Genomic DNA, 25,124 nt, shown 5'->3' on the forward strand with positions numbered 1-25,124 from the left:
TGCCTAACAGGAGATAATGGAGAGTGCAATTCTTTGGGAATAAGATCTTTGAAAAGTGTCCACATAGTTAAGAGAATCTAGCAGGCAGTGTATAGGATTAGGGCCAGCTGCAGGCTCAGAAAAGACCTAGAATGATCCTAATTTCTGACGTCTATTTGACCTTCAATCTCTGGACAAGCAGAAAATAAAGGGGAAGGCCAAGTTGAAAACGTTCTCGTTAAGTGGAAAAGGTATTCTACAAGAGACACACAGAACACAGCTTCAAGAACTTGAAATTTTTGGCATTGGTAAATTTATTTATTTAGGTTAGTTATTCTATAACTGACACATAATTTCACATATTTATAGGGTATAGCATAATGTTTTAAAATATATGTACATTGTGTTATGATAAAATTCGGGTAATTAGCATGTTCATCATCTCAAACCATTATCATTTCTTCATGGTAATAACTTTCAAGTTACTGTTTTCTAGCTATTATAAAATATATATGTTGTTATTATACCATAGTTGTTATAGTCACCCAACTGTGTAATAGAACACCAGAACTTATTTTTTCTATCTCACTGTAGCTTTGAACCCAGTGAATGACCTCCCTTAATCTTTTTCTTCCCAGACCCCTCCCCAGACTCTGGTAACCACCAGTCTGTGCTTAACTTCTGCAAGATCAACTTCCCTATATTCCACTTATTAGTGAGCTCATGCAATATTTGTCTTTCAATCTATGGTTTATTTCATTGAACATTATATTATCTAGGCTCACACATATTGCTACAGATGACAGTATTTTGTTTCTTTCCATAGCAAATAGTATTCCATTGTGTATATATACCACATTTTATTTATCTATTTATTTATTGATGGGCACATTTTGATTTCATCTCTTGGCTACTGTGAATGGTGCTGGAATAAACATCATAGTGCAAATATCTTTTTGACATACTGATTTTAGTTACTTTGGCTATATACCAGTAGTTCAATAATGAACCGTACTTTAGCTCTATTTTTAACTTTTTGAGAAATCACCATACTTTTTTTATAATGATTGTGCTAAGCTACATCCCACCAACAGTGTCAAAGAGTTTTCCTCTCACTCTGTCCTCACTTGTATTTGTTATGTTTTGTCTTCTTTATACTAGCCATTGTTACTAGGGTGGGATGGTATCTCATTGTAGCTTTAATTTTCATTTCCCGGCTGGGCACTGTGGCTCACACCTGTAATCCCAGTACTTTGGGAGGCCGAGGTAGGCAGATCACAAGGTCAAGAGATCGAGACCATCCTGGCCAACATGGTGAAACCCCGTCTCTACTAAAAATACAAAAATTAGCTGAGCGTGGTGGCGCGTGCCTGTAGTCCCAGCTACTTAGGAGGCTGAGGCAGGAGAATCGCTTGAACCCGGGAGGCGGAGGTTGCAGTGAGCAGAGATTGTGCCACTGCACTCCAGCCTGGGTGATACAGGGAGACTCCATCTCAAAAAAAAAAAAAAAATCATTTCCCTTATAGTTAGTAATGTTGAGCATTTTGTTATAAACCTGCCAGCCGTTTGTACACTTTTTTGGGAAAATTGTCTATTAAGGTTTTTTTGCCATTTTTAAATTGAATTATTTGTTTTGTTTTGTTGTTTGTTTGCTGGTTAGTTGTTTGAATCCTTTATATACTCTGGATATTTGTATAGTTTACAAATGTTTGCTCCCATTCTGTAGCTTGTCTCTTTCATATTTTGTAAAGATTTGAGAAGTATTTGTATTAATTCTTCTTTAAATGTGTGTCAGACTTTGACAGTAAAGCCATTAGTCCCTGGGCTTTTCCTTGAGAGGAGAGTCTTTACTTCCAGTTTGATCTTGTTACTAATTATTTGTCTTTTTATGTTTGCTAATTTTTCATGATTTAATCTTGGTAAGTAGTATGTCTCCACAGATTTATCTATTTTTTCTCAATTTTTCATTTTATTGACATACAGTTGATCTTAGTAGTGTCTTGTGATCCTTTGTATGTCTGTGGTAGCAGTTGTGATTTCCCTCTTTTTATTTCTAGTTTTATTTATTTGAGTCTTCTCTGTTATTTTCTTAGTTTACTAGGAAGTGTTGATTTTATTATTTCAAAAAACCAACTGCATCTTTCATATTTTCTATTTTCAATTCTCTATTTTGTTTACTTTTACTTTGATTTTTGATATTTCTTCCCTTCTACTTTTTTGAGATTTGTTTTGTCTTGTTTTTCTGGTTCTTTGAGATGTATTATTAGGTTGTTTATTTGAAATATCTTTTTCATGTTGGTGTTTATTGTCATAAACTCTTCTCTTACAATTGCTTTTGCTGTATCTCAAATTTTTTTTGATATGTGGTGTTTTCATTTTCATTTCTCTCAAGAAACTTATCATTTTTAATTTTTTTTACTTAACCACTCATTGTTCCAGGGCATGTCATTTAATTTCTATAAATTTGTATAGATTTTACCATTCCTTCTGTTATTCATTTTTAGTTTTCTTATGTTTTGGTCAGAAAATATAGTTAATATAATTTCAATCTTTATAGATTTATTAAGACCTTTATTGTGACTTAACATATGATCTATCCTAAAGAATATCCATGTCCTGTCCAGAAAATTTTATATTTTGCTGATGCTGGAGGAAATGCTCTGTAAATGTCCCTTAGGTATATTTGGCATAGAATGCAGTTTAACTCTATTTTTCTGTTTCTTTATTTTCTGTCTGGATGACTTTTTTATTGCTGAAAATGTGGTGTTGAAATTTCCTATTATTATTGTATTATAGTTAATTTCTCCCTCTAACCTTATTAATATTTGCTTTATATATTTTGATGCCTCAGTGTTTAAGACATATTTATTTACAACTGTTATAAACTCTTGTAGTATTGACCTTTTTATTATTTTATAATGGCATTTTACCATTCTTGACTTAAAGTCAATTTTATCTAATATAAGTGTATCTACTCTTGCTCTTTCTGAGTTTTCATTTCATGGTATACCTTTTCCCATCACTTTAAGTCTATGTGTCTTTGTAGATTAAATGACATTTTTATAAAAAGCATGTATTTGGTCCTTTTTTTTACCCATTCAGCCACACTTCATTTTTTAATCGAATAATATAATCCATTTACATGCAAGGTTATTATTTACAGGAAAGGGTTTTTTCTACTACCATTTTGTTACTTCTTTTCTGGTTGTTTTGTAAATCTTTTTTTCTTTCTTCGTCTCTTACTATCTTCCTTTGTGGTTAAGTGATTTTCTCTAGTAGCGTATTATGATTTTATGCTATTTCTTTTAATGTATCTATAGATTTTTGTTTTGCAGATAACGTAATGAATGCTTAACAAAAACTCCTTATGGTTATAGCATAGTCTTTTAAATTAATAACAACTTTAATTACAAATACAAGTAATATAAAACGCTGCGCTTTAACACCATCTCCCTCACACTCTTACTTTTTGATATTTTAAATTACATCTTCTTATATTACGTATCTCTTAGCCAATTGTCATAATTATTCTTGTGGCTAGTACTTTTGTATTATGTCCATACTTAAAATATAAGCAGTTTACCTACCACGATTATAGCATTATTCTGAGTTTTTCTGTATTCCTATTAAGACTTCTACCCGTGAGTTTTATAATTTTAGATGTTTCTTTGTTACATGTCAATGTTTATTTCTTTTAGATTAAAGAATTGTCCTTAGCATTTTCTGTAAGACACATCTGGTGTCAAGAAATTCCCTCAGCTTTCATTTGTCTGGAAAAGTCTTTATTTATTTTTTGTGTTTGAAGGCTAGCTTTGGGGGGTACAGTATTCTTTTTTTTATTTTTGAAACAGAATGTCTCTCTGTCATCTAGGATAAAGTGCAGCAGCAAGATCATAGCTCACTGCAGCACTGAATTCTTGGTCCCAAGTGATCCTTCCACCTCAGCCTTCCAAGTACCTGGGACTACACAGTTGTTTTAAATTATTCATAAAGCAAGACATAAATCTATGTTTCTTTAGGCTTGTTTTCTGAAGGTTTATTTTGTTCTATTGATTGAGCCATGTTTCCCTGTTTTATATGCCTTATAATCTTTTTATGAGAGTTAATAATTTGCAGAAAAAATAAAAACCCCAGGCACTTTATTCACTGTTTATAGACAGGCTTACTGCAGGAATAAACTGTCACTAATCAGTGTGGTGTAGAGATGCTAGAAACTCACAAAAGCTTCCTGGGTTTTTAGTGTATATTTTTATTCCAGTTTCTGATAAATATACTTCTCATGTCTCAATTTACCCAAGAGTTTCAGCCAGTTTTGTCTCAAAAGCCTGGGGTTTCTGTTTTGTTTCTCTGACTGTAACTTGCTGCCTTCAGGTCCCTGGATTACTATAGAATTTCTGCAAATCTAACACAACACGGTGCCTGCTGCTGATTTTCACGGCCTCCATTCTGTTATCCAAATTTTGCTTCATTTATATCAGTGTTTCGAGTTGAATAAAACAGGAGCCACTACCTCAGTTAGTACAGCAATTAACTACAATGATCCAAGTTATTTCTAGTTATTCCATTTTATATGAGGTAGAAATTGTGAATTGGCTGCCTTCCTTCAGATTACAGTACACTGCACCAGATCAGGATAGAGAAAAAGCACATGAAAAATGCCGCCGAATTTTCTAGCATTTGAGGTGCAGTTTTTTTCATAACTAAGCATTCGGTTGGTTGCTACAGTTTCTCAATTGATTGCTAGAGTTGCCACAAAGATATTTTGTGCATATGTTGTTGTTAATTTCTTATTTCCACAGGGAACTGAGGGCCTGAAACTTCCTAGTATGCCGTCTTTCTGACATTACCTCCTTAGAAAAAAAAGGACTTATTTTTAAAAATTGACTCACTCAATTATTGAGGCTGACAATGCTAAATCTGAAGAATAAAGTGGCACTGGATACTTAGGGAAGTGTTGATGTTTTAGTCTCAAGTCTAAAGCTATTATGTAAGTAGGATATTTTTCCTTGGGAGAACTCAATATTTCCTCTTAAAGCCTCCAATGGGTAAAATGAGTTTCTGCCATATTATGAGGGTAGCATGCTTTGTTCAACTGAAGAAAATGCTAAGTATTTAAATGTTAATCTCATCAAAAAGATACCTTTACACCAACATCTAGACTGGTGTTTCACAAACAAAAAAACTTAGTACCAAAGCTTAGCCATGTTGACACATAGAATAAACCATCACAGACACTAAAAGTATTGTTAGTTTCAGGCTATTACAAATCCTTCTTCAGTGAAGGGAATGGTATAGAGCTTCATGTGTTCTTTAATAGAATTTCTGTAAGTATATTCTCATAGGAAGAACTGTTGAGTCATTAGGTTTCTGTTTAATGTTATTGTCCTATTTGCCCATGCTTGAATTTGTCCAGAGTTTTAATCTTTTTTTCATTCTGATTAATATCATTGCACCAAGACACATCACATCACTGTCTTCAAGTTCTGCTGGTGATTGGTAATTGGAAACCTGTTATTTATTTTCAAGCAGAAAAGTTGTAAATGTATTGCCCTTTTTGACTTAAGATTGATAAACCCAGACTAATAGTACATAAACAATGGATAATCCATAGTGAGAATTGACCCATTAATATAAACATGCAGAAAAGAAATAAAAAGTGCTTAAAATAGCTGTCAACTTTGAATCAAACATAAGTGGAGTTAATAGAAAAAAATAGTCCCAAGAATCTTTACACTGTTGATATTTGAGAATATCTGGATATTCATAGCCAAATGTCTTAATGGAAAACAAAATTATCAACATGAAAAACAGAGGTAGTAAAAAAGATTAAAATCCTTTAAAAAAGGAGTACTGAGAAAAACCTTTATATTATAGAAACTCACAAATATTTGGTAATATTGAAAGCACAAAGTATAAAGTGTTAAGAAATTTATTCAGACTTTGAAAACAAAATGACAATTTTTCAAGGCATAGACTTTTCAAGGTAAGAAAAGATGCTTACTTGATAGTGCAAGTTATACAACAAAAAGTAAAGCTTTACATGGTCATTTTACAGCCAAAACTACAGTTCAAAAGAGGACTGTTTTATGGCTACAGTTTTTTCACTGTTTTCTCCATGCCATGTCCTTTCACATGTTCTTTCTAGGTCCTGATGAGAAGTTTGAAATTATTTAATGTGATGAAAACCTGTTTTTTAACTGAAGGGTTTGAGGTTCTTTACAGCTTATCAATGCAATGGTTAAATCATTTAATTGAGATAAAAGGCATAAATCAGGCTGTTAGCATTGTTTGTCTTTGTCTCATTTTTATGAGATTCCAACACAAAATGTGGTAAATATTACATTAGTTAGAATAGGTAAAGCATGAACGTGAGTAGGTTGCATATTGTAAGCACCATAGAAAGAAACAAATCAGAATTTTGAAATCTCTTACGAGAAAATGTATCTTACAAATAACATTTTCAGGATACTTAATGGTAAGTGAGTAATTCTAAATTAAGATTTTGGTGACACACATATACCACAGCTTATTTTTCCATGTAAAATCTTCTGTTTGAGTGTGAATGTTAAGTGTGGAAAAATAATAGAATAACCTTGTGGATTTAAAATCTGAAATGATCTTTCCTTTCCAGATTGAGATTACAATCTTGAAGAATTTCTCTTACAATTTTTTTTATTTTACTGGGTGCAGCTTATGGCCTACAGTTTTTAGTTACCTAACTGTAGCCAAGATTGGAGATCGTGGCAGCTTTTCAATTAAAACATTTTCTCACTGATTTTGGGTGCAAATTTATTTAATGTGTTTACAGAATAGTTAATTATGAGACCTGCCCTTTTAATGTCTTTCATACTATTACTGTTGCGGGAAACTGAGGAATGGTGAGACCGATATGGAGAACAGGAGGATTGTTTATTTTAGGTATGCACTGGCTCAGTGGATTTGCATTCAAAAAGCTGAGTCTTGAACAAATACAGAGCAGGGTTTTTATAAGCAAACTTACAGAGGCAAAACAAAAGCAGTTAATCATACAATGACAGGTCACGTAATCTATAGCATAACTGTTGACTTAGCATAACTTGTGGCCTTGCATAGCTAGTGACCTTGTAGCTGCGTCAAAAGAAAAACAAGAACTGGCTAAATACAGACATTTGTAAAACATAATCATGCTTAAGAAACCAGGGAAAGGAGTAACAGTAAAAGAATTTGTCTTTCTCTTCTTTTTTTCCCTTCAACGTTGTTCTGGTAGCGGGTAGGGGGGTGGTGTCTGAAGCCCATTCCTTTGGCCTTGGCTTTCCAGACAGCATTATCTTATAACTGTCCTTGAAGTGAGCTGCTAAGCAGAGGAACAGTTATTGTTTTCTTTTTAACCCTTGCCTTGCCTGTTACTTTTCTTAGAGTGAATGAACGCATATTTATTTTTAAATTTCTGCCTCATTACCATCAGCACTAGAAACTCCAAGATGCCTCAAGCTTAAAGTAAAAGCCCTAGAGTACATTGGCTCTTCCCATGTTCTGTGCTGGGTCTAGAATATGCTGGTAAATATTAGAGTTTCTATAGTTATTAAATTTAAAAAACAAAACTGGCTGGGTGCGGTGGCTCACGCCTGTAATCCCAGCACCTTGGGAGGCTGAGGTGGGTGGATCACAAGGTCAGGAGATCAAGACCAGCCTGGCTAACATGGTGAAACCCTGCTTCTACTAAAAATACAAAAAATTAGCCAGCCATGGTGGCACACACCTGTAGTCCCAACTACTTGGGAGGCTGAGGCAGGAGAATCGCTTGAACTTGGGAGGTGGAGGTTGCAGTGAGCCGAGATTGCACACTGCCCTCCAGCCTGCGTGACAGAATGAGACTCCATCTCAAAAACAAAAAAAAACAAAAAAAAACAACAAAAAAAACTAAACTAAAACTATATACTTTTGATATGATTTAGTTAAGTTTATGACAAAGAGAGCATTTGAAACACTTTCATTTTTCTATAATGTTTTTAAAAATATGTTTTTAAATTGATGCATAAAATCTGTATTTATCCATAAAACATGATGTTTTAAAGTATATATACATTGTCAATGCTTAATTCTAGGTAATTAACAAATGCTTTATCTCACATCATTGACACTTTTGCGACAAGAGCATATAAAATTGACTGTCCTAGCATTTTTTAAAAATGCAATATATCATTACTAACTATAGTCACTATTCTGTACAATAGTCCTTTTGAACTTATTTTTCCTAGCCAACTGTAATTATATATCTTTTCACAGACATCTCCACATACATTTCTTTCTTCTAATTACATTAGAATCTGGTAACCACCACAAAACTCTCTACTTTAATAACATCAAGTTGTTTAGATAAGTGAACAACAGTGAAATGATGAGGTGTTAATCTTTCTGTGCTTGACTTACTTTAACAAATATAATTTCCTCTAGGTTCATCCATATGATTGCAAATGACAGGATTTTCTTATTTTGTGTATATACATATACACAAAATATGTATATACACAATATATATAAATATATATACTATAAATATAACCTGAAATATACATATATATTATATATATGTTTATATAAAAAATACATACAAACAAAAAATATATACCACATTGTCTTTATTCACTTATTGGATGATAGACACTTAGACTGATTCTATACTATGAATCTGTGAAGAGTTCTGCAATAAATATAGTAGTGCAGATTTCTCTTCAACATACGTATTTTATTTGTTTTGGGATTTAGACCCAATAGTGCAATTGCAGCATCATATGATAGTACTATGTTAATCTTTTTGAGAAATCTTCATTCTGTTTTTTATAATGGCTTTACTGATTTATATTCACACCAACAGTGTTTAAGCATTCTCTTTCCCCTATTTACTAATACTTGTTATCTTTTTCTTTTTAATAAGAGTCATTCTAGCAAGAGTGAATTGATATCTTATCAATGTTTTGGCTTGCCTTTCCCTGAAGATAACTGACATTGAACCTTTTTTTTAAAGATATGTTTGTCATGTGTATGTCCTTTTTTGAAAAATGTCTATTTTGGCCTTTTGCTCATTTTTAATAGTTGTCTTCTTTGTTGTATAGTCATTTGAGTTTCTTATATATTTTTGATATTTAACCTCTTGTCAGATGTAAAATTTGGAAATATTTTCTCACACATTTTAGTTGTCTTATTATTCTCTTGATTGCAAATGCTGATGTGTAATAGCTTTTTAATTTGAAATAATCTGATTTATCTATGTTTACATTTGTTCTCTAGGATTTTGAGGTTAAATCCAAAACATCATTGCCCGGACTCATGTTATAAAGCTTTAACAATATTTTTTCTTGTAGAAGTTTCAGAGTTTCAAGTCTTAAATTCAAGTTTCTAATTCATTTTAGATGAGTTCTATACATGGTATGAGATGAGGGTCTTATTTTATTGTTTTCATGTGGATATAAAGTTTTCCCAACATCATTTATTGAAGAGACTCTCTTTTTTTAATAACTTGTCACCTTCATCTAAAATCAATTAATTGTAAATGCATGGATTTACTTCTGGTCTCTCTATTCTGCTTCATTAACCTATGAGTTAATTTTTAAGCCAGTACCATACAGTTTTGGCTACTATACCTTTGCAGGATATTTTGAAGTCTGGTAGGGGAATGTTCTCAGCTGTGGGTTTGTTTTTTTTTTTATTTTTTTTTATTGCATAGTGAGAGTCTTTTCTAGTACCGTATAAATTTTGGAATTGTTTTTAAATGTTTCTGTGAAGAAAGTCATTGGTTTTTGATAAAGGTTGTATTATATCTGCAGATCATTTTGTGTAATACAGACATTTAACAATATTAATTATGCCAATTTACAAATAAATATCTTTGCAAGTATTTGTGTATTATTTAGTTTCTTACTTCAACAGTCTTTAGCTTACAATGTAGAGATCTTTAGTTTATAACTTAGGAATAAAATAATCACAGGTACACCAACAGGTGGGCCAGCAATGATGTACCTGTGATTATTTTATTCCTGCTGCCCTCTGCTTTTTACATGGACAGTATCTGTTCCACCCTCGGAACTGAAGAGAGATGTTGGTAGGGAGAGGCTCTTCCTTCACCTCTGGCGGAAAAGATTTTTTCAGGATCTTCATCCCCTGTCGTCGAAGCTACACTTTAATGTAGCAGCTATTGACCAAGTGTGGCTACTGAGTGCCTGGTATGTGGCTGGTCTGAACTGCGATGTTCTAGAAAGGTAAAATACAGAGTTAGTTTCAAAGATTTATTTCCATATATATATATACACTTTATTAGTAATAAATATTTCTTACATATTGAAATGATAATATTTTGAATATAGTGAGTTAATTAAATTGCTACAATCAATTCCACCTGTTTCTTCTTTTTTTAAAGTTTGGCTACCAGAAAATGTAAAATTCACATGTGGCTCACATTTTATTTCAGAGGATTGCCTCCGTTTTAAAATCCCAGGCTGCCTGCTCAACAACCAGAAGCCAGGAAGGTCATAAAATCTGAATTTGTTAAATAATGGTTATTATATTCTTTGCATTTGTGAATAGCCATATAATATATTATTTATAAATGCATATGACCTTATACGCATGGTTAAATGCAAATGCCCTCTGGGGCGGGACTGGCTCAGCTCAGGAAAAAGCCCTGCCTGAAAAGGCGGCAGCTTAGGTTTCACTCTGTCTTCATTCAGCCCAGCATCTGAGCACATCTTCCGCTACTCAGGGCCTGAGTGGGTGGGGCCCTAAACATTATCCAATCAGGATCGCTGGGCTAGGAACCGTCCAATCAGGCACGTAGCTGGAGCGGACAGGACGGCTTCCGGGATTTGGCGCGGCCTTTGTCTCGCTACCATTGGAGCTCCAGGTCTTCTCTTCGCTTTTCTGTGTCCTCTGCTCCTAGAGGCCCAACCTCTGTGTCCCTGTGACCTGTAGGTATTGGGAGATCCACAGCTAAGACGCCAGGACCCCCTGGAAGCCTAGAAGTGGTGAGAGTGACGGGTCCGACATCCCGAGAGAGAGGGAGGGGGCTGGTTGGAACCGGTAGGAAGTGGCTGTGGCGGGACTCGGGCCTCCCCGAAGTCGGCTCCAAATTCCACGGACCTCCCCCGTCCCCACTGAGTTCTCCTTGGCTCAGCTCGGCCCTCAGCCCCCTTTAGCCATAAGATGGCGGCCCGGCTCACAGCAGTGACCCCGGGCGTCCTGTCTCCTCCCTGCGCAGTGACTGTGCCCTGGCCTGGAGTCCTCTCTGGGCAGCTCTGCACCTACAGCGCCGCATCCCTCCCCGATTGTGCAGGGACCGCGAGAAGGTAGTCGGGAGAATCCTGACTCGGGGTGCGGGGTTTATGAATGGGAAGAGCTTTGATCCGTGGGGTTCCCAGTCACTCTTTTCTCCTGTAAAGTATTTATGGGAGTAACCAGAAAAATATTAAAGAATTTAATCAAAGAGTGATTCAAAAATTGTAGAGCACCAAGCTATGGTTTCTAGTTTATGTTCCATCAGGTGGACTTAAAGAAAAGTCATTTTAGGCCAGGCGCGGTGGCTTACGCCTGTAATCCCAGCATTTTGGGAGACCAAGGCGGGTGGATCACCTGAGGTCAAGAGTTCGAGACCAGCCTGACTAACATGGTGAAACCCTGTCTCAACTAAAAATACAAAAATTAGACGGAGGTGGTGGCAGGCGCCTGTAATCCCAGCTACTCAGGGGGCCGAGGCAGGAGAATCCCTTGAACCCGGGAGGCGGAGGTTGCAGTAAGCCGAGATCACGCCATCGCACTGCAGCCTGGGAGACAAGAGCGAGACTTCATTTCAAAAAAAAAAAAAGTCATTTTAAGGTGCATGATGAAGAAAATCAGTGGTTAGGTACAGTTACGTAGTTTCTCAACTTGTATGATCGAGGTGAAAATTTCCTGATAATGTAATCAGCGGTTAATTGGCAGTTTATAGTTGCCTAAATTTTGCTTTCTCCAATATAGTAATTGACAAAAAAATGCACTTGAGTTAGATTTTTGTTTTTTTAAGTAGGAATCCAGGGGCTAGAGCCACCTCAGTCTAATTGCCTGCCATTTAATTATGTTCACACTCCACAGGGGACAGATTTTACCCTGCATTTTTCACATGTGTCCCAAACAGGGTCTCAAGTCTACCCCCCACCCCCTAATCCTTCAGTCTAACTCTGGCTTGCAGTAAAATACTAAATTTCCAGTTCCTTGTGACATTCCCAAATGCCAACTTCCCCTCCCTAATTTGCATGATCAACTATTTGTTCTTTAGTATACATTTTTGATACTGCATTTTAATTAATCATTATTAATCATTATGACAAAGTATTGGATGGCACTTTTTAAAACATTTGTTTTCTGTTTGTAAATATTTCCCATAAGAAGAAAGTTCCACAGACACTGTATTGTAAAAAAGTCTGTGCCTCTTTTTCTTTTATCTTCCCTAGGCACAGAGATCTTGTCAGAATGTTTTTGGGTCATGGTTTCCCTTTGGAAACTATGGGGTGATGTGTTCTCAGCCATCATTTACTTTTTTACTGGTCCTGGGTTTCAGTACTGTCTGGGGATGAACCAAGATACCCACCATGGCTGTCTGCTATAATGTCTAGTGACTCTCAGGTCCTGGGTCATTTTCTCCAATAGGAAAACTGGAGGTATGGAGTGTAGCCTCTTGAAAGAGCAGATGGATGCCCTAGGGCTGAGAGGAATCTCCTGGTATACTATTTTTTTTGAAAAGTTAACCCCGTGAGACATTAAGATTGTCTTCAAGCCAGATTCCATTTCTTGTAGACACATTGCTGGTCAGATAATCAGATGCTGGTATTGAGGGGAAAACACAGAAATAATTTTTGCTCCCTGGATTCTGTATAGGGGCAGAAAAATTGTGAAAGAAATACAACAGAGGAAAAATTGTGAAAGAAGTACAACAGAGGAAAAATAGTGAAAGACAAATAGTGAAAAATTTGTGAAAGAAAAAATAGTATTCCAAAAAAACAAACAAAAACTGACCCCAGTGAGATGGTTCAATAACTTAACCCCAGGTGCAAAGTAAAATGCACCTGGGGCACGCACTGGGGCATAGTGCAATGTCTCCTGAGAGACAGGTTATTGAGCACTTAAGTGAGCAGGATGGGGGGTGAGAATCTCTTAAGCGATTGGATGGCCTGACTTGACACATGAGTCAGGCACATCTGTTTTTTAATCAGCACTGCCACACCATAAATTTGTCACTGTGAAAATATTTGTTTACTTATTTTGACCTCAGTTATTTTATTTTATTTTTTTAACCAAGACCGAGTCTTGCTCTATTGCCCAGGCTAGAGTGCAGTGGTGCGCTCTCAGCTCACAGCAACCTCCACCTCCTGGGTTCAAGCGATTCTTCTGCCTCAGCCTCCGGAGTAGCTGGGATTACAGGCGCACACCACCACGCCCAGCTAATTTTTGTATTTTTAGTAGAGACTGGGTTTCACCATGTTGGCCAGGTTGGTGTCAAACTCCTGACCTCAGGTGTTCCACCCGCCTCAGCCTCCCAAAGTGCTGGGATTACAAGCGTGAACCATGGTACCCAGCCTGACCTCAGTTTTTAAACTGTAAATTGCATTTTATTAAGTAGGGCTTGACAGGTAGAAAAAAATAATTAAAAAGGACATAAAAGAGGTGGGTTAAAAAAATTAATATGTAATCATATATTCCATTTGTTAATAATTCTCATTTACTTTTTTCTTTCCCAGAGTGAGTTTAACAATTTTCTCAGGTGTATTTTTTATGGCTGAGTGATTTCAAACAGAATTTCAAGGCTTAGCTTTTAGATTACTAGCTACCAAGGAAAATTATAGGGAAAATCACTCTTTTATTTTGGTTTTAGAAAATGAATACATTTCCACAAGAAAATGTTGTAGCTAATTGGTGAGTTACATAGATTCATGAAAACATCAGTTTCTTTTTTTGCAGGGTAAGTTTGTGACACTATCTCTGTTCTAGATCCCATTATTTTGATTTCTGAGTTTCTTTTTTTTTTTTTTTTTTTTTTGAGACGGAGTCTTGCTTGTTGCCCAGGCTGGAGTGCAGTGGCACAATCTCAGCTCACTGCAAGCTCCACCTCCCGGGTTCACGCCATTCTCCTGCCTCAGCCTCCCAAGTAGCTGGGACTACAGGCGCCCGCCACCACGCCTGGCTAATTTTTTATATATTTTTTTAGTAGAGACGGGGTTTCACCGTGTTAGCCAGGATGGTCTCGATCTCCTGACCTCGTGATCCGCCCGCCTCAGCCTCCCAAAGTGCTGGGATTACAGGCGTGAGCCACCACACCCGGCCTGATTTCTGAGTTTCATGCTAAATTTTATGAGGTGAAACTTGGTACCACTTAGAAGTGTTCCCATATGACTAGTTGTTTACTACATGATTATTAATGGAAATAATAAAATAATACATTTATTATCTGAAAGGAATAAATACTTTTACTTTTCTTATTGAAGTGTGAAGTGTAAGCAGCGTATAAATTCCTTTCCTTACAGTAACACCATGTTTGAGTAATTGTGCTGGATTTTTCAAACAGTTACTTTCAAAAACCAAGTGAATACCTTTGACATAGAAATCAAATCTTTAGCCTGGTGACTCCAAGCTAGGGCTAATATTGAGCCTGCAAAAGGATGTTATTAAAGGTCCAGTTAATTCTTTCTAGGGAGCCTCCCCTGCAGGTGTCCCAGCCTGTGCACCCCAGCCATGAAAGAATCCTTTATACTGAGGCTACAGAGCCCTAGAAAGCTGGGGACCCACAGGCAGATGCAGTTAAGGTTAAGAAGGAAGGAGATTGGGAGGGTTTTACTGAAGATGAAGTTGTTATTGTTTTGAGGCAGTTTCTAAACATTGTAAAATAAAGTTAGATTTATGTAAAAAATTTGAATACCAAACAAGCATTGCAACAGGAGGAAGTACCAACTATAAGATCTTTAAGGACTGCAAAGTCTAGGCAGACAAGGGCTTTCTTTCATAGGGAGGAGCAAACAAGATTAAAAAGGAGATGGGGGCTGGGCGCGGTGGCTCACGCCTGTAATCCCAGCAGGTTGGGAGGCTGAGACGGGCGGATCACAAGTCAGGAGATCGAGACCATCCTGGCTAACACGGTGAAACCCCATCTCTACTAAAAATACAAAAAATTAGCTGGGCGTGGTGGCGGGCGCCTATAGTCCCAGCTACTCGGGAGGCTGAGGCAGGAGAATGGCGTGAACCTGGGAGGCGGAGCTTGCAGTGAGCCGAGATCGCGCCACTGCACTCCAGCCTGGGCGACAGAGCGAGACTCCGTCTCAAAAAAACTAAAATAAAATAAAAAGGAGGTGGGGGGGGATGGCAAATGGAGGGTGAAAATAATTATATTTTAGATCAGAACATTTTTTACCCTGAACTCAGCATGTTCTTAAAAGGGACATAAAATGGGGTTCTATGTTGGCTCAGACTGAGGGTAGCTCAAAGTTCAGAAGCTTGTGGGAAGGAGATAAACTTTGATTAAGAAGTATTTTATTCTGACCACTGAAGACAAATCCAACTGATTTCTTAATGAGAAAAAGAAGATGTGGAGAGTTCATGTTTGGCTATGTGATAAGTAAGATAAGAGAGTACTTACACCATCTAAGTCAAATGGACAGGGTGTTTTTTTCTGTAAACTGTTCCTGGAGAACACAAAAGATGGATAATTTTATTAATCACAGCTGTTTACCAGGATTGTCTATGTGCTTCATCTTTCCCCACCCCTTTTTTTGTTCTATACATTTCTTCTATTTGACTTATTTTATTTTTTGAGACAGAGTCTTGCTCTGTTGCCCAGGCTGGAGCACAGTGGCACAATCTTGGCTCACTGCAACCTCTGCCTCCTGGGTTCAAGCAATTCTCCTGCCTTGGCCTCCTGAGTAGCTGGGATTACAGGTGCCCACCACCATGCCCAGCTAATTTTTGTATTTTTAGTAGAGACAGGGTTTCACCATGTTGGCCAGGCTGGTCTCAAACTCCTGACCTCAAGTCATTCACCCACCTCAGCCTCCGAGAGTGCTGTGATTATAGGCATGAGCCACCATACTCAGCCTATACATTAGATTTGTAAAGTATATTCATCTGACTCTAGCAAGTGGAGAAATATTTTATTTTTATTTCTTTCAGTTAAGTATTCTCATTATGCCCAAGATCTTTGGCTAGAACAAGGCATAAAGGCTTCTTTCCAAAAAGTGATACTGAGAAGATATGGAAAATGTGGACATAAAAATTTACAGTAAAGAATAAACTGTAAAAGTGTGGATGAGTATAAGGTGCACAAAAGAGGTTATAATGAACTTAACAAATGTTTGACAACTACTCAGAGCAGAATATTTCAATGTGATAAATATATGAAAGTCTTTCATATATTTTTAAATTCAAATTGTCATAAGACATCCTGACAAGAAACCCTTCAAATGTAAAGAATGTGGCAAATCATTTTGCATGTTTTCACACCTAACATGACATAAAAGCATTCATACTAGAGATAATTCCTACAAATGTGAGGTGTGTGCTAAAGTTTTTAACTGGTTATCACAGCTTATTAAACGTAAAAGAATTCATACAGAAGAGAAACCCTACAAATGAGAAGAATGTGGCAAAGCCTTTAACCAATCTTCAACCCTTATTAGACATAAGAAAATTCATACTAAAGAGAAATCCTACAAATGTTATTATGTGGCAAAGGTTTTAGTGTATTCTCAATCCTTAGTAAACTTAAGATAATTCATACTGGAGACAAACCCTTCAAAGGTGATGAATGTCACAAAGCCTTTAACCAGTTCTCAACCCTTACCAACTGTAAGAGAATTCATACTGGAGAGAAACCCTACAAACGTAAAGAATGTGGGAAAGGTTTTAACCAGTTTTCACACCTTACTAAACATAAGAAAACTCATACTGGAGAGAAACCCTACAAATGTAAAGAATGTGGCAAAGGTTTTAACCAGTTTTCACACCTTACTAAACATAAGAAAACTCATACTGGAAAGAAATCCTACAAATGTGAAGAATGTGGCAAAGCTTTTAACCAGTTTGCAAACCTTATTAAACATAAAAGAATTCATACCGGAGAGAAATCCTACAATATGAAGAATGATGAAAAGCTTTTACCCAGTCCTCAGACCTTACTGAACACATGAGAAATCATACAGGAGAGAAACCCTACAAATGTGAAGAATGTGGCAAATGTTTTAATGGGCCCTCCTACCTTACCTGACATAAGATAATTCATACTAGAAAGAATACCTACAAATGTGAAGAATGTGGCAAAAGCTTTAGTGTATTCTCAACCTTTACTAATCATAAAGCAATTAATACTGGAGAGAAATCTTACAAATATGTTGAATGTGACAATGTTTTTAACTAGGCTGCAACTCTTGCTGATCATAAGAAAATTCATACGGGAGAAAAACCCCACAAATGTGACAAATGTGGCAAAGCTTTTAACTGCTCCTCAAACCTTACTAGACATAAAAAAATTCATACTGATGAGAAACTCTACAAACCTAAAAGATATGACAATGATTTTGACAACACCTCCAACTTTTCTAAATATACAAAAAATCATCCTGGTGAAAAACCTTTAAAATGTGAAGAATGTGTGGCCGGGCACGGTGGCTCACGCCTGTAATCCCAGCACTTTGGGAGGCTGAGGCGGGCGGATCATGAGGTCAGGAGATTGAGACCATCCTGGCTAACACGGTGAAACCCCGTCTCTACTAAAAATACAAAAAATTAGCTGGGTGTGGTGGCAGGCGCCTGTAGTCCCAGCTACTTGGGAGGTTGAGGCAGGAGAATGGTGTGAACCCGGGAGGCAGAGCTTGCAGTGAGCTGAGATTGCGCCACTGCACTCCAGCCTGGGCTACAGAGCAAGACTCTGTCTAAAAAAAAAATAAAAAATAAATTTTAAAAATGTGAAGAACGTGACAAAACCTTCAAGTGGTTGTCACACTTGATTATAGGTAAGATAATTTATACTGGAGAAAACTTAATAAGTAAAGAATGTGGCAAAACTGTGAAGCAATATCCACACCTTATTGCACAGGAAAACATTTATACTTGAGAAAGATTATACAAATATAAAGAATATAAAAATGTCATTGATGTCTGCTCACATCTTACTCAACATCAGAATTTTTACTTAATTAGGAGCATTATAAATGCAATTACTGTCAAAAGATCTTTCAGAAACTATAACCCTTTAAAGTAAAAAGCATGTTTATGCTGAAGACAAATATTACAAATATAAGGATGGTGTAGTACCTTTACTTGTATCACAAATCATATTGTACACATTTTATACTAGAGGAAAACCCTGAAGCAGTTGCTCAAACTTTGTTCAAAATCAGATAATTTATATTGGACAAAAATCTTGCAAATGTAATAAATTTGGAAACACATTTTTTAAAAAACCATAGCCTAGAAAACAGAGAATTTATACTGAAATATATTTTTGCAGATGAAGTAAGTATGAAAAATATTTAATTCACAGTCTATGTAAATATCAGAATTTACAGTAGAAATAAGTTACTGACACTTTAGATATTACACTAAATCAGAGTGTTCAGTATAGAAAATATAACTCAAGTTGTTAGATGATTTGTATATAACTGTAAAAGGAGTAAGGCCGGATGCAGTGGCTCACGCCTGTAATCTCAGCACTTTGGGAGCCTGACCTGAGGTCAGGAGTTTGAGACCAGCCTGATCAACTTGGAAAAACAAAATTAGCTGGGTGTGGTGGCGCATGCCTGTAATCCCAGCTACTCAGGAGGCTGAGGCAGGAGAATTGTTTGAACCCGGAAGGAAGAGGTTGTGGTGAGCCAAGATCACGCCATTGCACTCCAGCCTGAGCAACAGGAGCAAAACTCCATCTCAAAAAAAGAAAAAAAAAAAAAAAACAGGAGTAGAAGATTTTCAGGAGAGTTATAATTACATTCAAAGTATACTTTTAAAAAGATTGCAGATTATTTGAAAAGCAGATAATGATGAATTCAACTCTCAAATTACATTATTATGTTTTTTCATTCCTATTGTATTCACATGTGAAAGCATGTAACGAATTGTTGCTGTGTCAGAGATACGAGATTCTTTTTTATTAGGTGAACACTGATTTTTTTCTATAGAAGAGTAAGGGCATTAAAGCTTAAGATTTATAATGAAAATCTAAGTAGGTTCTTGGTGGTTAACTTATAATACTGAGTGATGAGGTAGGTGTTCAGAGTAATATTCTTCTGCATTATAGTGAGAGAAAGGCATTTTTAATTTTAGTTTAAATTAAAGGGGCTGGGCACAGTGGCTCATGCCTGTAATCCCAACACTTTGGGAGGCCAATGTGGGTGGATCATCTAAGGTCAGGAGTTCGAGACAAGCCTGGCCAACATGGTGAAACCCTGCCTCTATTAAAAATACAAAAATTAGCCAGGCATGGTGGTGTGTGCCTGTAATCCCAGGCTCTGGGGATGCTGAGGCAGGAGAATCACTGGAACCTGGGGGACAGAGGCTGCAGTTAACCAAGATCGTGCCACTGCATTCCCCACTGGGTGACAGAGCAAGACTCCATCTCAAAAAAAAAAAAAAGTAATTAAATTACCAATTTACTAATTGTACTTTTATGCAGTAAAATGCAGTACATTTAAAAATTTTTAGATTATGTGTGAACTTAATTTTTTAATTGTACATTTTTAACATGTTAAGACTATTGTGCATTCAATAAAGTGTTATACCACTAACATTCACCTATTCCACCTTACTCAAGAGTGTAGGTAAAAGATAGTAACAGTATGTGATTTGGTAAAATAGTGGAATAATATCTCCAGTAATCTCTTTTGCCAGTGGCTTTAAACTGCAAATAAGTTAAAGAACATTGTTCCCATCACTTAAATTTTTATTTCTTTTCTTTTTATTTAAATTTATATTTCTTAATTTTTGTGGGTACAGGGTATGTGCATATATTTATGCCATATATGTTATGTTTTTTAGTTTTAGTTTTTGTTTTTCACTCTGTCACCCAGGCTGGAGTTCAGTGGCATGATCTCAGTTCACTGCAACCTACACCTCTGGGGTTCAAGTGATTCTCCTGCCTCAGTCTCCCAAGTAGCTGGGACTACAGGCATATGCCACCACGCCCGGCTAATTTTTTTGTATTTTTAGTAGAGATGAGGTTTCATCATGTTGGCCAGGCTGGTCTCGAACTCCTGACCTCAGGTGATCCACACACCTCGGCCTCCCAAAGTGCTGGGATTACAGGGGTGAGCCACCGTGCCTGTCCTATGTTATGTTTTGACACAGGCATACAATCTGTAATAATCACATCTGGGTGAATCAGGTATCTATCACCTCTAGCATTTATCCTTTGTATTACAAACAATCCAATTGTACACTTCTAGTTATATTAAAATGTACAGTTAAACTGTTAGTGACTACCAGGTCATTTTAGGTCATAATAAAAATTACATAGACATATACATAAATTTATACATTTCTGAGTCCTAAATATTTTTCAAGTTTTATTATATTTTTCTATGAACATGTGCCCTCTCTTCCTGGAAACACAGACTTTTAATTTTTATTTACACAAACATATATTACTATAAAGATAACTGTTAGGTGAAAGTAAATTATGAAGTAAGTGTGTGTGTAAGTATGAGTTTGTACTTATTTTCAGAGTAAAAAGCGATATTGAAACAAAGCATTATTTTAATAAGCTGACTAATTTACTAGAAAACTAAAAACTTCAAAAATGCTGGAAACAAATCTATGATCTCTGCTTTATGTTGAATTCATTACTGTAAAATATTAAGGCTTATGGTTCAGAATCTCCTCATGCAATTTTTTTTTTACTTGCCTGGTACTCATGCTAGACTTATAATTATCTTGTATGTTATAATTTCTTTGTTATATAGTATATAAAGTACTCATTATATGAGCTGGTAAGGGATTATATGAATGATTTTAATAAAATCTAGTAGTGCACACAAAATAATTTTTAGATGTAATTCCAAAATTAGTGTATTATGTTTTCAGTTAGAATATTCCATTTAATTGCAGAACCCTATATAAGCATACTATTCTTGTTTTCTTTTTTCTTTTTCTTTTTTTGTGTGAGACGGAGTTTCACTCTTGTTGCCCAGGCTGGAGTGCAATGGCGTGATCTCAGCTCACTGCAACCTCCGCCTCCCAGATTCAAGTGATTCTCCTGCCTCAGCCTCCCAAGTAGCTGGGATCACAGGCATGTGCCACCACACCTGGCTAACTTTTTATATTTTTAGTAGAGATGGGATTTCACCATGTTGTACAGGCTGGTCTCAAACTCTTGACCTCAGGCAATCCACCCACCTTAGCATCCCAAAGTGCTAGGATTACAGGCATGAGCCACCGCGCCTGGCCAAGCCTACTATTCTTTAGTTATTGTTTCTTTCATGTTTATAATTGACACAAGTAAATTTATTTATTGAACCAATTTGTTCAGGTAAGTACAGGCTTTATAAGTCATGAGGATTTTTAAAAATATAAATGTAGCAAAAAACATGAAAGTGCTTGCTGTATAACAGATGCTCCATAATAAGCCATAAATATTTCTGCTGGAGTTAGTTTGTAACTTCAAGTCAGAGATGGAAAATATGAATTGTGAAGAAATAACTAACTATTCATGTGAAGAGAACATTTATTACAGGCTGCAAAGCTGAATTTTGCTGAATTTAAACAAATTCTGCTTCTGTTACATTCTAATTATCTTCAGTTTTGTCATTTTATTGTATTCCAACTATGTATGCATTACAGCCCGTCTCCTTTTTCTGTGTTGTGATTACAGTTTACTCACTGTTGTCTTCATGCCGTGTCATTTCACTTGGTACTTTGTAGGTTCTGATGAGAAAGTTGGTATTTTTTAATGCACTAAAAAATTGGTTTTAACTGGAGAGTTTATTAATATAACTTTCAGATCAGTTAATTAACATAATAGGCATACACTGTCGACAGATGAGAGGATTAAATCAGTTAGCATTGTTTTCCTATGTGTGTAAAAGGAAAATTTTATTAGTTTCTTACACAAATTGTGGCATATATAAAATTTGCTAGAAAATATATCTTAGAAATTCTTAAGAGTTAATGGTGAGTGAAGAATTTTAAATTAAATTTTTTTTTTTTTTTTTTTTTTGAGACAGAGTCTTGCTCTGTTGCCCAGGCTGGAGTGCAGTGGCACAATCTCGGCTCACTGCAAGCTCCGCCTCCCAGGTTCACGCCATTCTCCTGCCTCAGCCTCCGAGTAGCTGGGACTACAGGTGCCCGCCAGCACGCCCGGCTAATTTTTTGTATTTTTTTAGTAGAGACGGGGTTTCACCGTGTTAGCCAGGATGGTCTCGATCTCCTGACCTCATGATCCGCCCGCCTCGGCCTCCCAAAGTGCTGGGATTACAGGCGTGAGCCACCGCGCCCAGCCTAAATTAAATTTTTTATGATACACTTATAGCGCATCTTATGTTTCCATGCAGTTTTTTTTTAATTTTATGTGTAAATGTGAAGTGTTGCAAAATAATAAAAGGAACTCTGTGGGTTTGAAATTTGGAATAATATTTTTTTCCATGTTGATGTTACAATTTGGAGAAATTTTTCTCTTATTCTATGTAAAATTTTTAGGGGGTGTAAAGTTCAGTCTACAGTGTTCATTCTTAGTCACCTAACTGTAGCCAACTCCCTTGTCATTTTCTCTGGAAAAATTTTGGGATCATGGCAGCTTTTGGATTAAAATATTTTCTGTTAATTTGTAAGTGAACTTGTTTACTGTGTGGGTAGTCATGGAACCATAAGCAACACCTGACCTTTTAGTGTTTTCCATATTATTAAAATCTGCACCAGAAATTCCAGGTTTCCCAAGCTTTAAGTAAAAGCCCTAAAGTACATTGGCTTCTCCTATGTACTGTGCTGGGTCCAGAACATGCAGTTAAGTATCAAAGTTCTTATGCTTATGACTGACAAATTAAGTGACAAAAACAGCACAAAAATTACATATTTTTGGTATCATTCAACCAAGTTTATGACAAAAACACAGTATTTGAAACATTGTTATCCTCTTATAATGTTTAAAAATATATATATATATATATATATATATATTTTTTTTTTTTTTTTTTTTTTTTTTTTTTGAGACGGAGTCTCGCTCTGTCGCCCAGGCTGGAGTGCAGTGGCGCGATCTCGGCTCACTGCAAGCTCCGCCTCCCGGGTTCACGCCATTCTCCTGCCTCAGCCTCCCGAGTAGCTGGGACTACAGGCGCCCGCTACCACGCCCGGCTAATTTTTTGTATTTTTAGTAGAGACGGGGTTTCACCGTGTTAGCCAGGATGGTCTCGATCTCCTGACCTCGTGATCCGCCCGCCTCGGCCTCCCAAAGTGCTGGGATTACAGGCGTGAGCCACCGCGCCCGGCCTAAAAATATATTTTTAACATGACAGATAAAATGTGTATTTATTCGGTAAAACATAATTATTTTATTTTATTTTATTTTATTTTTCTTGAGACAGAGTCTCACTCTGTCGCCAGGCTGGAGTACAGTGGTGCAATCTCGACTCACTGCAACCTCCACCTCCCGGGTTCAAGCAGTTCTCCTGCCTCAGCCTCCCAAGTAGCTGGGACTATAGGCGTGTGCCACCACGCCCAGCTAATTTTTGTCATTTTAATAGAGATGGGGTTTCACCATGTTGGCCAGGCTGGCCTTGGTCTCTAGACCTTGTGATCCACCTGCCTTGGCCTCCCAAAGTGCTGGGATTACAGAGATGAGCCACCATGCCTGGCCAAACATGTTTTGAAGTATGTATACATTGTCAAATGATTAATTCTTAATTGCTTTACCTCACATAGTTAACATTTTTCTAGTGAGAGAATCTTGTCTTCACATTTTTCAAAAATACGTTATTATGAATTAAAGTCACCAGCCTGCAAAATAAATCTCTTAAACTCATTCCTCCTAACAAACTATAATTATGTATTCTTTAACAGATAACTTTCCAACCCCTTTTTTCTAAATATCTTAGCATCTGGTTGTCACCATGTTACTCTCTACTTCAATGAGATTAAGTTATTTAGAATCTATGTCTAAGTGAAATCATGAGATATTTATCCTTCTGTGCCTGGCTAATTTCAGCTAATATACTGTCTGCCAGGTTTAGCCATGTGATTGAAAATAACAAAATTGTATTCTCTTAGAGCCCACATAGCCAAAGCAAGACTAAGCAAAAAGAACAAATCTGGAGGCATCACATTACCTTACTTCAAACTATAAGGCTATTGTCTATATTGACTATAAGGCTATTGTCACCAAAACAGCATGGTGCGGATATACAAATAGGCACATAGACAATAAACGTGTGTGTAAGTATTTTTTTTCATATAATGACTTCTTTTCCTCTGGATAGATACCTAGTAGTGGGATTGCTGGATCAAACAGAAGATCTACTTTAAGTTCTTTAAAAAATTTTCACACTGTTTTTCATAGTAGTTGGGCTAGTTTACATTCACACCAAAAGTGTAAAATCATTCCTTTTTCACCACATCCCTGGCAACATGTCCTATTTTTTTATTTTTTGATTATGATCATTATTGCAGGAGTGAGGTGGTATCACATTGTGGTTTTGATTTGCACTTCTCTGATAATTAGGTATATTGAGCATGTTTCCATATGCCTGTTGGCCATTTGTATATCTTCTTTTGAGAATTGTCTGTTTATGTTCTTAGCCCACTTTTTCATGGATTTTTTTTTTTTTTTTTTTTTTTTGCGGATTCGTATGAGTTTTCTGTAGATTCTGGATATTAGTCTTTTGTCAGATGTATAGATATTAGTCTTTTGTCAGATGTATAGATTGTGAAGATTTTCTCTCACTCTGTGGGTTATCTGTTAACTCGGCTGATTATTTATTTTGCTTTTCAGAAGGTGTTCAGTTTAATTAAGCCCCATCTATTTATCTTTGTTTTTGTTGCATTTTCTTTTAGATTCTTGGTCATAAAGTCTTTGAGTAAGCCAATGTCTAGAAAAATTTTTCAATGTTATCTTCTAGAATTTTTATAGTTTCACGTCTTAGATTTATGTCTTTTGTCCCTCTTGAGTTGATTTTTGTATA

At 36.3% G+C, this 25,124-nt stretch overlaps 1 long non-coding RNA gene and 2 pseudogenes across 1 annotated transcript, besides 1 other annotated feature; 2 read left to right on the forward strand and 1 right to left on the reverse strand.

Annotated features, from left to right (window-relative positions):
- On the reverse strand, positions 9,645-15,786 carry LOC124901658 (uncharacterized). Its single transcript, XR_007060358.1, has 2 exons — positions 15,611-15,786; positions 9,645-10,206 (listed from the first exon to the last, which is right to left on the reverse strand). It is a non-coding gene; the product is annotated as an uncharacterized LOC124901658 (long non-coding RNA).
- Positions 9,647-9,802: a silencer, noted in NCBI's record as "fragment chr7:63923061-63923216 (GRCh37/hg19 assembly coordinates)". NCBI's record gives its function as "represses an EF-1alpha promoter that drives an FKBP-Casp9 reporter gene in an ReSE screen in K562 erythroleukemia cells {active_cell/tissue: K562}" and the evidence as "EXISTENCE:reporter gene assay evidence [ECO:0000049][PMID:32094911]".
- Positions 16,138-17,143, forward strand: ZNF680P1 (ZNF680 pseudogene 1; annotated as a pseudogene).
- On the forward strand, positions 22,521-23,126 carry VN1R41P (vomeronasal 1 receptor 41 pseudogene; annotated as a pseudogene).

This window comes from Homo sapiens, chromosome 7 (genome assembly GCF_000001405.40).
Source record: "Homo sapiens chromosome 7, GRCh38.p14 Primary Assembly".
In the NCBI taxonomy this organism is placed as follows: Eukaryota; Metazoa; Chordata; class Mammalia; order Primates; family Hominidae; genus Homo; species Homo sapiens.